Source organism: Homo sapiens, chromosome 10 (genome assembly GCF_000001405.40).
Source record: "Homo sapiens chromosome 10, GRCh38.p14 Primary Assembly".
Taxonomy (NCBI): Eukaryota; Metazoa; Chordata; class Mammalia; order Primates; family Hominidae; genus Homo; species Homo sapiens.
In genome coordinates, this window is record NC_000010.11 from 74,064,958 (window position 1) to 74,080,548 (window position 15,591).

The following is a 15,591-nucleotide window of genomic DNA, read 5'->3' on the forward strand; positions in this document are numbered from 1 at the left end:
CCAAACAATTCATTGTTAAATAAATCACAGTGACAATTAAAAATGAATGACAAAAACACTACCTATCAAAACCCATGGGGCCAGTAAACAGTGAAACAAACAAACAAACAATCCTCAGTTTTATTAATAAAAGAAAAATGCAGGGCTGGGCACAGTGGCTCAAATGTATAATCCCAGCACTTTTTTTTTTTTTTTTTCAGACTGAGTCTCACTCTGTCGCTTAGGCTGAAGTGCAGTGGCGTGATCTTGGCTCAATGCAACCTCCGCCTCCCAGGTTCAAGCAATTCTCCTGCCTCAGCCTCCCAAGTAGCTGGGATTACAGGCGCTTGTCACCATGCCTGGCTAATTTTTGTATTCTTAGTAGAGACAGTGTTTCACCATGATGGCCAGGCTGGTCTCCAACTCCTGACCTCTAGTGATCCACTTACCTCGGCCTCCCAGAGTGCTGGGTTTACAGGTGTGAGCCACTGTGCCTGGCCCCCAGCACTTTAGGAGTCTGACATGGATGAATTGCTTGAGCCCAGAAGTTCACGACCAGCCTGTGCAACATGGCAACACTCCATCGCTACAAAAAATAAACATAATTAGCTGGGTATGATGGTCTGTGCCTGTAGTCCCAGCTACTTGAGAGGCTGAGGTGGGAGGTGACCAGGAGGTCGAGGCTGCAGTGAGCCATGATTATACCACTGCACCTGCCGCCTGGGCAACAGACCGAGACCCTGTCTCAAAAAAAAAAAAGAAAAAAAAAGCAAGTTAAATTCACAATAGTTTATCGTTTCACATTGACCAGATTGGCATATTAAAAGTTCAGACGATGAGGATCAAGTCTGTATACTGCTGGTAGAAGTATTCAATTGATAAAACCATTTTGGAAAGCAGTTTGTCATTCCCTGGTAAAGTTGAATATATTTATTTTCTGTAATTTAGTATTTCCATTACTAGATATATAATCTAAACTCTGTTCATGTGTACCAGGAGCCAGAATAAAAATTTTCACAGCACTATTATTCATATTAACACTAATAACAGAAACAAGAACCTAGAACACCTCTAACATCCAGCAGAGGTAGAATGGGTAAATCAATTTTGGTATATATATATATATTTTTTTTTTTTTTTGAGATGGAGTTTCGCTTTTGTTGCCCAGGCTGGAGTGCAATGGCACGATCTCAGCTCACCGCAACCTCCGCCTCCCGGGTTCAAGTAATTCTCCTGCCTCAGCCTCCCGAGTAGCTGGGATTACAGGCATGTGCCACCACGCCCAGCAAATTTTGTATTTTTAATACAGACAGGGTTTCTCCATGTTGGTCAGGCAGGTCTTGAACTCCCGACCTCAGGTGATCTGCCCGCCTCAGCCTCCCAAAGTGCTGAGATTACAGGCGTGAGCCACCACGCCTGGCCAATTTTGGTATATTCTCACAGGGGAATACAACATAGTAGCTACAGTTGTTAACATGATGGACTGAACATTATAATGTTGAACAAAAAGAACAGTCACAGAAGCATGCATAACGGTATGATTCCGCTTAAGTTCCAATATAGGCAGAACTCAACAAAAAATTGCTTAGGTATGTATACATATATAGGTGGTAAAAGTATAAAGAAAATCAAGAAAATAATTAACAACATTCAGAGTAATAATTATCTCTGGAGAATAGGAAGGAGGATTTGGTTAAGGTGGGGTTCTAAAGTACCTGGTACTATTTTATAAAATGATTTTTTTTTTTTTTTTGAGACTAAATCTCACTCTATTGCCTAGGCTGGAGTGCAGTGGCATGATCTTGGCTCACTGTAACCTCTGCCTCCTGGGTTCTACTGATTCTCCTCCCTCAGCCTCCTGTGTAGCTGGGATTACAGGTGCCCGCCACCATGCCCAGCTAATTTTTGTATTTTTAGTAGAGACGGGGTTTCACCATGTTGGCCAGGCTGGTTTCGAACTCCTGACCTCAGTCCGCCCACCTTGGCCTCCCAAAGTGCTGGGATTACAGGCATGAGCCACTGCACCTGGCATAAAATGATTATTGACTTTTAGGTAGATGGTGTTTGTTTGAATTAAAATTTATACAATCTTTTACATGTGTTATTTTATTTTGTAACTTAAAAACTATGAAAATCCTCAACCTCAATGGAAATTAACACTATATTGAATAAAGATAACCTACAGACTGGGAAAAAAACATTTGCAAATTGTATTTCTGATGAGAGTTTAATAACTAGCTTATCTAAGAAACTCTTACAACTCAGCCCCAAAAGACAACCTAATTGAAAAATGGGCCTAATTGAATAGACATTTCTCCATAAAAGATGTAGAAATGGACAACAAGCACATGAAAAGATGTTCACCATCATTGATCATTAAGGAATTGCAAATCAAAGCCATAATGAGATACCACTTCACACCTGCTAGGGTGGCTTTTATTTAAAAAAAAAAAAAGATAAGCATTGGTGAGGATATGGAGAATTAGGAGCCCTTATGTGAAATGGCACAGTGCTGGAAAATAGTTTTGTGGTTTCTCAAAAAATCAAACATGGAATTACTATATAAACTAGCAATTCCTCCCCTAGGTATATAACTAAGAGAAATGAGAACATTATAGCAGCATTATTCATAATTGCTAAAAGGTGTAGACAGCTCAAATGTTCATAAGTAGATTAATGGGTAAACAAACTGTGGCATATCCATACAATGGAATATTATTATTCAGCCATAAAAAAAGAATGAAGTATTGATACAGGCTACAACTTGGATGAACCTCAAAAACATGCTAAATGAAAGGAGCCAGACGTAGTGTATGAATTCTTTTGTATGATGTTTCCACAATAGGCAAATCCAGTGAGACAGAAAGCAGATTAGCGGTTATCAGGGGACGGGGGAAGGAGAAAATAGGGAGTTATTACTTAATGAGTATTGCGTGTTTTACTGAGATAATGAAGAGTTTTGGCACTAGAGAGAGGCAGTGGTTGCACAACACTGTGAATACACTAAATGCTACTGAATTGTACACTTTGAAATGGTTATTTGTATGTTACATGAATTTCACCTCAATTGAAAAGAAACTATGTTTGGATCCAATTTTGGTTTATTATTGGTGAAGATCCAAAATTTGAATTGGTGAGAAGGTAAGAACTGTTTAGTATAACTTCTGCAGATTGCAATATGGCAACATTTGTTAAAAATTATACATATGCATACCTTTGACTCAGCAATTTTATATCTAGAATGTATCCTACAGACATACAGGGTAAAATTACATGTATTCAAGGTGATTCATCACAGCAGGCTAATAACTATTAGCCTGGGCTATTATGTAGCTTTATAAAAGTAGGAGGAGGCTCTTTATGTACTTTTCTTTCTTTTTTTCTTCTTCTTCTTTTCTTTTTTCTTTTTTTGGAGTCTTGCTCTGTTGCCCAGGCTGGAGTGCAGTGGCATGATCTCGGCTCACTGCAACCTCCGCTTCCTGGGTTCAAGTGATTCTCCTGCCTCAGCCTCCCCAGTAGCTGGGATTACAGGCCCCTGCCACCATGCCTGGCTAATTTTTGTACTTTTGGTAGAGATAGAGTTTCACCATGTTGGCCAGGCTGATCTCGAAATCCTGACCTAAAGTAATCCACCTGCCTTGGCCTCCCAAAGTGCTGGGATTACACGTGTGAGCCACCATGCGCGGCCCTCTTTATGTACTTTTAATAGAACAACACATAAATGTAAAAAGCAGAATGCAGCGAGTGACCATATATGATCCTATTTGTGTAAAAAAGTGGGGAAATGTACATTTTTGCTTCTTTGAGGCCTGAAATGTTTTATGAAGACATTTACATACAGAGGAAATACAACATTGGAGGAAACTCAGTATTGGTTGCAAGTGGGATGGAATGAGTGCATGGAAGATAGTGAAGGGAAAGAGATTTCTCATTGTATGCCCTTTTGGTTTTAAATATGTGTATATGCTTGTGTAATATGTATGAATATATATTATATATTTAAAATAAAATTAAAAAGAACAAAATATCCAGTCCTTTAAGCCTGATCAAAAGCCACATCAAACAGGTCTTGCCCTTCACTGATATTTATTATATACTGCCTTATGTTTTTTTTTTTGTTTGTTTGTTCGTTTGTTTTGGAGACAGAGTCTAACTCTGTCACCCAGGCTGGAGTGCAGTGGCATGATCTCGGCTCACTGCAACCTCCACCTCTGATTCTCCTGCCTCTGAGTAGCTGGGATTACAGATGTCCACCACTATGCCTGGCTAATTTTTGTATTTTTAGTAGAGACGGGCTTTCACTATGTTGGCCAGGCTGGTCTCGAACTCCCAACCTCAAGTGATCTGCCCACCTTGGCCTCTCAAAGTGCTGGGATTACAGGCATGAGCCAACTGCGCCCGGCCATGTATTGGCTTATTCTGCCAATGTTTGTGTCTTGCCTTAGTAAAGTATGCTCCTCGAGAGTTAGAATAGTGCTTTTTACATCTTTATATACATACCTACAGTGTCCACAGCCCAGTGCTTTTTATGTAGTTGAAATTCATAAGTTGGTTTAATTCTACTTGTTAACAATGTAATACTGCTTTAAACTTGTGGAGTTTCTGTATTACTTCATTTATCCTCAAAAGAACCTGGTGAGATAGGCTTTTATTTGCAGGTGACATTTTCTATGTTTTCAAATGAGACTGTATAATTCTGGCTAAGCATTTTAACTTTAAGCAGTTTGTTCCTTATCTTTGTAAGTTAGTCAGTCACAACATAATGGCTATATTGAATATGAGACTAGAGGAGATGATCTATTAGGTTATTTTCAACTCTGTGGGGATGAGTAATTGAATGAATGAATGAATACATTTTATTAGTACAAGGAAGGCAAACTGAATACTTGGTGTATGCATTTTGGGTTCCTCTTTTAAATGAATCCCCCGCCCAGCTCCCCTTCCACCACTCAACCTTTGGCTGATCTGGTTACTTATATTAATATTAAACTATTAATAACTGGCTTAGTTACTAATAATAGTGACCTTTAATTAACAATATATTTTCATTTTAATTTTTAAATTTTTGTTTTTATTTTCTTTTAACAATATATTTTCAAATGGTCCAATGGATTTATCAAACAAATTTATTTAGCTAGATGAATGAGTGAGAAATTTATGCATTGCCTCATACTTTTTCTTTGTGTTTCTTCCTATTCCTTTGCTTTGTTTAGTTATTAAATTTCACTTAACACCATGCTTTGGCATTTTATTTCCAGATGTTAGATCTGAAAATGATCTAACATTTCAGCAAAGAACTGAAGGATTTCAGTTCTTTGTGCAGTGTCTTTTAATAGCAGTGTGTATAGGGTGGGGAGGAATAAGGAAACAAAGGCATTGCAGAGATAGAGCAACCTGAAGTCAAAGAGCCCAGATGTTTTCTCGTCATTTTTTGTTGTCAGGAAATAAAGAATAAGGGCAGTGCACTGAATGAATGTGCTGCTTTTACCTGTAATTTTGTAATTTTCTTTTTGAAACAGGGTCTCTCAAAATGCTGGGATTACAGGCATGAGCCACTGTGTCCTGCCTAAATTGTAAAATCTAAAAACGTAGGTTCTATTATCAATTGGTCTTGGCTATTTTTCATGTAGGGAAAAAAACTGTGAATTTACATGCATATTCTCTCTTTGTATTTGCATATGGTATTCTTCTGTGTGGTTCTGCCGGTGTGTTAACCTGTGTTCTTCCCTATAGGGTTGAGAATGCTTGCACCAAGCTTGTCCAGGCAGCTCAGATGCTTCAGTCAGACCCTTACTCAGTGCCTGCTCGAGATTATCTAATTGATGGGTCAAGGGGCATCCTCTCTGGAACATCAGACCTGCTCCTTACCTTCGATGAGGCTGAGGTAGGCAATCTGAGACAAAAAGCCTACTCTTGAAGATAATAATGGAAGATTGATGATTGTTTAGAATGAAAATATGTTGAATGCTGCACATCTGTGTTACCGTGTTTGCTAGTTGTCCACCCATGTGATTGAATACTCTGAAATATTTTTTCAGGTCCGTAAAATTATTAGAGTTTGCAAAGGAATTTTGGAATATCTTACAGTGGCAGAGGTGGTGGAGACTATGGAAGATTTGGTCACTTACACAAAGAATCTTGGGCCAGGTTAGTTTTATCCAATTTCTATAACATTTTTTAAGGATTGTCCATGTTGGAGCCAAAGGAAAGGGTACCCTCTTCCTACTTTTTGCAGAAGATAGGTGAAGATGCATTGGGCTTTCAGGTGTCTGCTCTGTTGATGGAGATGATGCTGTGCTTTGAGGTGATGTCATTATCTCTGGTATCTGAATCTGCTTTCTATATATTGCCTTGTCAAATGAATTAAACCAAACATTGCAAATACTGCTATTGGAGAATGTAGGAAATACTTTTCTGTTACTGTAATGCTGAAGGCCATCCTGCATCCTGACCTCTCCATTCCACATTACACAGCATTCCTTCACTGTCTGCCAGCTGGCCTGTAGTTCTTTATGACCTCTTAGCTTGCTAATTAGCCTGCCTACTATTATGGATTCATGCCCTCACCCAAGGCTGCATAATATAATCAGACCTAGGAGAGAAGAGCTATTGTGGTTAAATCTTATTTTGAAATGATTATTCAGGCATCTGAGCATTAAATATTCAAAATATATAAACGGATACCAGCTTTTGATGTTACAGACATATAACATGAACTTGAGGGTCTTTAAAGTATGAATGAGACCAATGACAAGATATGTTAGATGTTTAACCTGCTTAACTTGATTGTTATCACTTTATAAAATTCATTTGTTTTATGTGAAATGTTGATTTTTAATTAACAGCATTTTTATGAGGTTCCAGTGTAGGTGTTCTGTAAAACTTAATGGCAGTTAAGAATTTGAGCCATCACTGAAGATCACCTGGAAATAGGTTTCTCTGGTGGCTTTAGAGTAGTCCTCTTAAAATTTCTCATAATACTGGCGAAAATTATATTTCCCCAAATGGAATCTTATGCAGAATCCCCAAACAAAAAAAGACAAAATGGAGCTACTTTAGGTGAAGCAGGAGCAGCCCCACCTCTGCTTCTCTTTGGTCTTGATGGTCTGTGAGACAACTTGAGAAATCCTAGGAGTAATTTGAAAATCAAAGCTTTAGAGAATCACATAGCGCCTTTGAATAACAACCAACATAAACAAAAAGTGCTAGCAGAGTGATTCCAAAACACCAGATGCTTTCAAACACTGTCATCCCTATAATTATTTTTATAATATTTCTATTTGTTTCTAATTATAAAACTAGTACATGCTTATTTTGGACAAATTGGAAAGTACAGACAAATAGAAATATGAAAACAAAACATATCATTGTTATTCTTAGAACTTTTTTCAGCCACTAGATTCAGTACTAGGCTCATGTGAGATTTTTAGCACAGAGTTCAGAGACATGGCATGAAACCTGTATGCATAGAAGCCTGGCAAAATGTTTTTCCCTTACCTGTGAATTTCTTTTTAATAAATATATATTTATTCATTTAGATGTTTAATATTTGTGAATATATTTATATCAAAATATGAAAATGTTTATCACATTTAGTGTTTACATTTAATACATTACTTTCATTGAAAAGAGTAATGTTGCATAAATTAGAGTTCAGTGATGGTGTCTGTTGTTTAAATAAGTGAGCAATCGGTTTGAACTTTCATAGTATTTCATAATGGATTTAGACTGAGAAAGCCAGACCCGGGATTGTTTCACTACTCACCCTGCACAATTTCTTCTTTGTGCCCCAGGAATGACTAAGATGGCCAAGATGATTGACGAGAGACAGCAGGAGCTCACTCACCAGGAGCACCGAGTGATGTTGGTGAACTCGATGAACACCGTGAAAGAGTTGCTGCCAGTTCTCATTTCAGGTACTTCCTGCCTGTACTTTATTTTATAGGGGGGAAAAATGTTAGCATGTTCTAAACTCTGAGGTTCATTTTGTTTTCTTTTGTTTTCTTTTCTTTTTTTTTTTTTTGAGATGAAGTCTCACTCTGTTGCCAGGCTGGAGTGCAGTGGTGCGATCTCGGCTCACTGCAACCTCTGCCTCCTGGGTTCAAGCGATTCTCCTGCCTCAGCCTTCTGAGTAGCAGGCACTACAGGTGCGCACTGCCATGCCCAGCTAATTTTTGTATTTTCAGTAGAGACGGGGTTTCACCATGTGGGCCAGGATGGTCTTGATCTCTTGACCTCGTGATCTGCCTGCCTCAGCCTCCCAGAGTGCTGGGATTACATGCGTGAGCCATGGCTCCTGGCCTGAGGTTCATTTTCTTTTGTGGCTTCACTGCATGTCCTTCAGCCTAGGTAAAAATGAGACCCGATTGATTGGTTATCACATGATGGCTGTAGCTGATTGGCTGAGAACCAGTCTTCTTCTCTAATGCTGTCCTTCTCCTGTTCTTTGTTTGAAATTGCCTTTCTGTGGCCTAATTCTGTTCTCCTAAAGCTCTAACAAGCCCCTTTGCTGGGAGGTGGACTCTCCTCTATAAACTCTAGCCTAGGATATTAAATTTTCACACCTTTGTGTTATAGAAAAATAATTAGGAGCTGGAATGGATATTATAGAGCATCATATGATAAAGACATGAACTCAGAGCCCTTTTTAGTGTGTATTAATCCAATTTTTCCTAAAAGATATTTAACTGTTGTTTACATCATGAGTAGATCAGTTCTTTAGTCACCAGCTGGGACTACCTTCCCATTGAGTAGTGCTCTGAAATGCAAACATGGTAGCTGCTCTCTCGACTAGCAAAAGGGAGTAGCACTTATTGAGTGTCTAGTATATGCCAGACAGCTCATGGTTTATATGAATTATCTTAGTCAAGTTGTGGGTTAATTAGTTATTTCTCAGAAGGCAACTTTATTATAAAAATCTGGTGACTCATGTCATTGTGACTTCCAGCTACCTGCTTTGGTGTTTCAAGTAGTAGCTAAAAAAGGACATATGAGTATAAGAGTTCAGGAGGCTGGGCACAGTGGCTCACTCCTGTAATCCCAGCACTTTGGGAGGCCGAGGTGGGTGGATCACCTGAGGTCAGGAGTTCGAGACCAGCCTGGCCAACATGGCAAAACCCCGTCTCTACTAAAAACAAAACAAAACAAAAATTAGCCAGGATTGGTGGCAGACGGCTATAATCCCAGCTACTCAGGAGGTTGAGGCAGGAGAATTGCTCAAACCCAGGAGGCGGAGGTTGCAGTGAGCCGAGATCACGCCGAAAGTGTTGGGATTACAGGCGTGAGCCACCATGCCCAGACATTATTTTTTTCTTCTTTATGTTTGGGGGTTGGCAAATCCAAGCTACATGTTGAGAGAAATCTCGGATGATAAACTTGACATCTTGGGATCTTCTGCTGGGATCAGGGGCAGCAGGATACGCCATTCAGAGTATTACTGACAGTTTTCATATTGTCCCATTAGGTTTGTAGTAGATGGAGCCAGGGTGAGGGCCAGGATGATAACTGATTTAGAAGGATATTAGATATTTTGTGATTGCAGGTCATCAGCATATGCAGGTTAAATTAGTTACTTAATCATGTTGTGATGGTGTCTTTGTACCTTGAGTTTTCTTTTTCTTTTTTTATTTTTACAATAAAGGTTGTTAATGTTGGAACTTTATTGTCAAACTTGTAGTGTTTGTTTTGTATACTCATTTTAGGATCTTAAAAGCCCAAAACATCTAAAGTGTAGAACATCTTTTGTGAATATTGTTATACAACAAGATTAAATTCCAAGCTTACTTTCTGATCTTTTATTTTTACAGCTATGAAGATTTTTGTAACAACTAAAAACTCAAAAAACCAAGGCATAGAGGAAGCTTTAAAAAATCGCAATTTTACTGTAGAAAAAATGAGTGCTGAAATTAATGAGATAATTCGTGTGTTACAACTCACCTCTTGGGATGAAGATGCCTGGGCCAGCAAGGTACGTGTTCTTAGTGGAGAAATAAGCAAAATCCCCAACTCTCCCTGGCTGGGGGTTTTGATTGGCACCTGTCTCATACTTTATCTTGTAATTTTTGTAGCATAAGAGTACTCAGATATTGTGAAAGTAATTTCTTCTTCATTTCTGTTTCATAGGTTACTTGCTATCTTTGCTAATTTCCTTTGTTCTAAGGTAGAACAAGTAAATAGGCATGTGGGGTAGATACTGGTTTAAGGCTGAGATTTATAGCTTTTCCATCAGGCTGGAGTCTTATTGGTTGGACTGGTGGAAGAGTATATTCCCGTGGATGGGAGCTCTGCCTTGTATATGGGTGGTTCTTCCCAGCTGACTAAGTAAGATACAGATATGCCTGTAATTCTGAACTTTATGGAAAACTTTTCTTTAACCAATCTTTGATCCAGAGAAATCTACAGAGGAAACTCTTGGCATTTCTAGATGTGTCCCTTGATCATTCCATTTTCCCCAAGGAAGGTTTAATTAAAATATTAGTCTTCACATTGGTCAGTTAGTTTGAGGGATCCCTTCACCCTTTTTCTGGAATCTCTTTTAGGACCCCAGAGGGGCTGGCAGATTCCTTCTAGAGCCTGTTAGCAGTGGTTTTGTGTTGCTGCTGCTCTGGTCTGCTGCTCCCTGTTTAATGACTGTGAACCAAGCTTTCAGGTCTGGGGGAACAGAGATACTTGGGTTCATACTTTCCTTGTAGGAGCCCAAGATGTAGGCAGTGGGGGGAACACACTGTCCCCAAGATCTAGCTTTCCCATGTGTGACCCCAATGTCTCCAGGGCCAGCCAGAAGGCTGGTAGTCAACTAAAGAAGGGATTTTGTTGTATGACTTCCATTGGGTGCTCAGTAGAACGGTATGTTCTCCGGGATCTGTAAGGTAATGTAAAAGCTGGGGCCTGAAATCACCAGCCCTCTCTCTTGTTGCCCTGAAAGCTAATTTAATTATATAGAGTAAGTTAGCTTATTTTAACTATGGATTTATTTACAGAGACATTTTCTCATTGATGTGAAGTTCTTGAATAGATTCTAAGACTGTATTTTAAATCTATATGGTAAAATCTTTTTAACTCTGATATTTTATTTAATTTTGCTTTTGCATAGTTGACAACTTTCACTTCCCTGTTATGACTTCTTTATGCATCTTTTTTTGTTCTTTTGTTTTATTCTTTTTCTCACGTTTAGAAGGTAAGCTTTCTCTTGCCCTCTAGTTTCTTTTTCGCTTAAAAAGAGAAAAGCATGTCTGTGAGGTTTTTTTGTGCTGTGTGCCGTGCCTTATTCTGTGTATAACACTGTGCTTGAATGTGCGTCAGAATGTGATTTAATACGGGACTCTAGGCAGTGCTGGGGAGACTGACTGTGGCTCATATTGAGTGATTTCTTTGGGAAAAGCTAAAGGAAAGACATTACTGTGGGCTATCAGGCTGCCTATATTTGGTGGGTGCCTTCAGTTCTTTGGGTAGGCTCCTGGGATCTTTTTTGGCCTGGTCTTTCCCATTGACTTCATTTGAGGAGCAGGATTCCCCAGGTAGCTGGGAGACCCCTGAGTTACCTGTGGACCCTGCTGTTGGGAAAGGAGACTTCCAGCTGATGCTATCTCTGTACCTGCCTCTCCCACCAGTCTTCTTTGCGGGCTCTGAAATTTTGCTTTTGGAGATGCATCATTGAGGTTTTAAGCCATAATGAAAGAGGGTAGGCTAGAGAGCTTAGATGAGGCACCTGTCCTTCATAATAATCCTAGCCTTCAAAATCCAAAGGAAAACAGAAGTGAAGTGTGTCTAAAGGTCTTCCTAACTTCATTCTGTGGCTCACTGCATGTTTTGCTGTCCAAACTGAATTAGCTGTAGTTCTCCATGACCTCATGTTCCCCTAACCCAAGCTCTTCGCTTATTCTCTTTCTTTTGCTTCTAGCAGATGACAAAAAGTAATAAGGAGGAACAGGCATTTTAACCTTAATGTTTCTCTATTTTCAGAAGGGAAAAGCTATCCATCATTTAGTGAATAAATGTTATTGAACTTTATTTTGTGCAAGTGCCATCAAGAGCTGCTTCTCTCATTAAAAAAATGTAGTCAGTTGAGTTTTCAGGGCTAGGATTAGGCACTTGGGGATACAAGTGAAATAGACCTGGTACTCACCGTGTACAGTCTTGTAGCTGCTCCCAGTTTTATGCTGAGGAAAACCAATTTGTTAGGATGCTACAAAACTAACTTCATCTGAAATGAAAGAAGGTAAATTAAATTAGCTCAACTCAAGTACACGATGACATCAGAATGAACAAGAGATGTTTATGTTTTAATCTACTGACCATAAGAATGAAAAAGAGATGCTTATTTTTTAACCTAATGACATCAGAATAAAAAAAGAGGTTTATTTTTAACCTAATTTTGCTTTTGTTTTACATTTATGTGGTTCAAATATCAAAGTGCTGCAAAAAGATATACCTGATAAGTCTTCCTCCTAACCTGGTTCCCATCCACTCTACCGCTCCTCACCCTCTAAGAGTAATCATTTCTATTGGTTATCAAAATAGAAAAAAATTTTACCCTGAAAATAGAAATTGGTAGCTAGGATTTTGGCTCTTTTTCAGTTTTGTAGCATTACGCATCTTTCATTGCTCCACTGTAAGCAGTGAATTAATCAGACCTTTTGTCTGACTGTGACTGCTGGGTTCCCATTCTGTTTAATGCATACAGTGTCTTTCACCTCTTCTCGCCCCTACCAATAAATAATTAACTTTGTCTTACCATACTTGTTTCATGCCTCCCCATTGGTGCAGTATTCTTCTGGAAAGTGATGATTCCTCTAGAAAAGTGGGGGAAGAAAGTAAGTGGAAAAAATTCTTGGTAAAAGTGCGTCTTGCCGAATAAGTTAAGATTTTAAAGAGGCAATGCAATAACTGATTATTTTACCTTTTATACCTATATTCAAATTGCACATTTACAAATTTAAAAGTAACTTTGACTTTAAACACTTCACTTATTTTAAAAGTAAAAAGTTTCCTTTTCTTAAATCAACAATCATTTTATAGTGATCATTAAAAATTAGGTTAGCATTTTTTTCTGAAAATACATTATTTATTAAAAGAATTTGAGTTAAACACAATTCTAATTCTACCCTTTGTAAATTTAGTGCTCTACATTTAATTTTTTTGGTATTTATATTACTTGTATCTTGATGCATGCTGAGAATTAAGAGGAAGTGAGATAAAAAATTAAAAAAAAATTTCACTGCTAAGACTTTGAACCCTACATAGGCACTCCTGCAGCTTTGCACCGTGAATCATTAAATTCTATTATTCAGAATTAGTTCCTGTGGTGGGTCTCTCCCCACTGTGGTCCTGGGCTGGTGGTGGGTAAAAGTAGTAAGTGACTCAGATGCCTTATACAGAAGATTAGCAAACTTAACTAAGGCAGGAAATGTTGGTTAGAACTTGTGAGTGTGTAATACTACCCCCTTACTTGCAGACCACTGGGATTTAAGAGTTGATTTGTTAAATTAAAAAAAGGTCATTTGTGGGCTTTCTATGAGCAAGTGTTCTAGTGTTTTGTTTTTAGCAGCTAATAGAATGAAAGATCTCTAAGAGCTTGAGAGAAATAGTTAATTCAGGCATTTATGATATTTTATCTCCCTGCTCCCCATGAGGAGAAAATCCCAAAATAAATTGATGTTTCCCTTCTGATCTAAGTTATCTTTGGCTAGTACATCTGATCATGCACTCATAGGTAGCATAGATTTTTAGAGCCAGGAAGGTATTCTTAGAGATGAGGAATTGAGACCCAGAGAAGGTAACTTGCATGAAGTCTCAGGACTAGACAACTTTCTCTTGTTTAAATGTAGTTTGTAAGATTTTGTTCTACTGCCCAATCTATACTTTCCAGAAACATCTTAAACCAGAAACATCTGGTTTAAAACATTGACTTGCAGGTGGAAATGAGGTTAGAAAGGGGATGGAGTGGGAAGACAGGTGTTGGTGGAGGGAGAAGGGAGAGTATGGTGGGCAGTCATGGAGAGAGGTTCTTATTCCCCATATTTAAAATTTTCAAGAGCCTAGGATTGCAGGACTTTACTTTTTTAACCGAAGTTCCTCTTGATTGTCCATAGAAGGAGGTCATTATTATTCACAGGTGTTCTGAGGCCTAAATCTATGTTTAATTTAAGGAGTGTTTCAGTTCCTAGGAAAGCACGTACAAATGGTTTAGCTTGTCGTTCCATCTTTTGGTATGCAGGGAAGAGTGCCAAGGCACTGTATTTTTTTCATTTAAAACATGAATTCATAAGAATTTTATGTTAAGAAGGAGCATAACATGGTGGGGGAGGACCCAGATAGATTCAGGCCAGCTGTCCCCAAAGCCACATGACTAGACCTGGTCTTTTTATACTTCACTCTTTCAACACCCACAAACCCCCTGAAAAACAAACCAAAAACAGATAAGAAATTGGTAGAGACTTTTCTTTTTCCCAAAGTTGAGCTTTTACAGAGAAGAATACTCAAATGAAGGTGCAGTTTTTCTCTCTTCTATTTCATATCTGAATTATACTGACCTGAAATATACAGACCTACATGACAAGGTTTAGCAAAATGGTTTGTGGTACAAAGCATGGCTGACCACAAGGGTTACGATTATTTTCACCCTTTATAAATATATCCCCAAATTGACTTCTGTCCTAGTTGTCCAGTGAATTTGTTTATGTCATATTCATTGTTTGTATACTTACATGCTTATGACAGAATTCTGTCAATTCTATAATAAATATTGCCTTTCAAAAGAAATATATATGAAAGTCTTAGGAGAAAAAAATTCCCTTAGACATGTTTGTTTTTACTAGATATGACTAACATAAAATGGTTACTTATAACCTACTGTTTTCCAGAAAGAATTTAAGATGGCTCTTTCAGTTATTGTTTTAAATCTCTGAAATTGTCTAAAATTAATGCTGTTAAAAATTTTGGTAACTTATTGAAAGTCGCAGTTATTAAATGCAGCTTCATTCAAAATTGGCTATTGGTTCCTTTTAGGGGAAAATGAACATCTCTTAATTTTAACTTCTTGACGGTGTCACACCTCCCACTGAGCAGTAAATTACTCACTTCCTGAGAATTACATTCTTTCCTTGCAGTACTGGCCATTAGAGCTTTATTAAGGAGAAAAAAAGAAATGATTTTTGAGGATGCTGAATAGACAAAAACTATTTTTTCCATTGTGTTTCAAATCATTTTTGGGCATTGGAGAATAAAAGCAGTCATTTTTGTTAGTGTAGATTATGAATTTGATTTCTGGAGCTTATTTTCTCTGCAGTATTAACCAAAGTCAAAACTGACAAGGCAGAGATTTGCTGACTATTGTTGGAGATTAGTAGAATCTTTAGCAACTCTCCTTGGTAAAAGAAAAAAAAATCTTGTTTCATTTGATAAGCAATGAGGTTTGGAGTCAACAAACCTGAGATCAAATTAGGTTTGTAGGAGTCAGTTCCTGTTTCTTAATTTGTAGTATTATTTAAATGACATTTAAATTTGAGATTCAATGAGGTAAGGAGGGGGAAAGTAGCTAAAACAGAACCTAACATGCAGGGAATGCATATTAAATTCAATGCATGTCAGTTGAATTTAGTTTCCTAACTAGTA

General features: G+C 38.1%; 1 protein-coding gene and 1 long non-coding RNA gene across 3 annotated transcripts in view; one reads left to right on the forward strand and one right to left on the reverse strand.

Annotated features, from left to right (window-relative positions):
• Positions 1 to 15,591, forward strand: part of VCL (vinculin) — a 123,248-nt gene that overhangs the window by 66,842 nt on the left and 40,815 nt on the right. For both annotated transcript variants that reach the window (NM_003373.4, NM_014000.3), the window contains exons 3-6: positions 5,713 to 5,863; positions 6,018 to 6,126; positions 7,773 to 7,895; positions 9,786 to 9,946. In NM_003373.4, the coding sequence (NP_003364.1) occupies positions 5,713 to 5,863; positions 6,018 to 6,126; positions 7,773 to 7,895; positions 9,786 to 9,946 (544 nt within the window). The remainder of the gene's footprint in view (positions 1 to 5,712; positions 5,864 to 6,017; positions 6,127 to 7,772; positions 7,896 to 9,785; positions 9,947 to 15,591) is intronic.
• Positions 6,793 to 7,821, reverse strand: LOC124902458 (uncharacterized). The gene is made up of 2 exons (XR_007062200.1): positions 7,745 to 7,821; positions 6,793 to 7,107 (listed from the first exon to the last, which is right to left on the reverse strand). It is a non-coding gene; the product is annotated as an uncharacterized LOC124902458 (long non-coding RNA).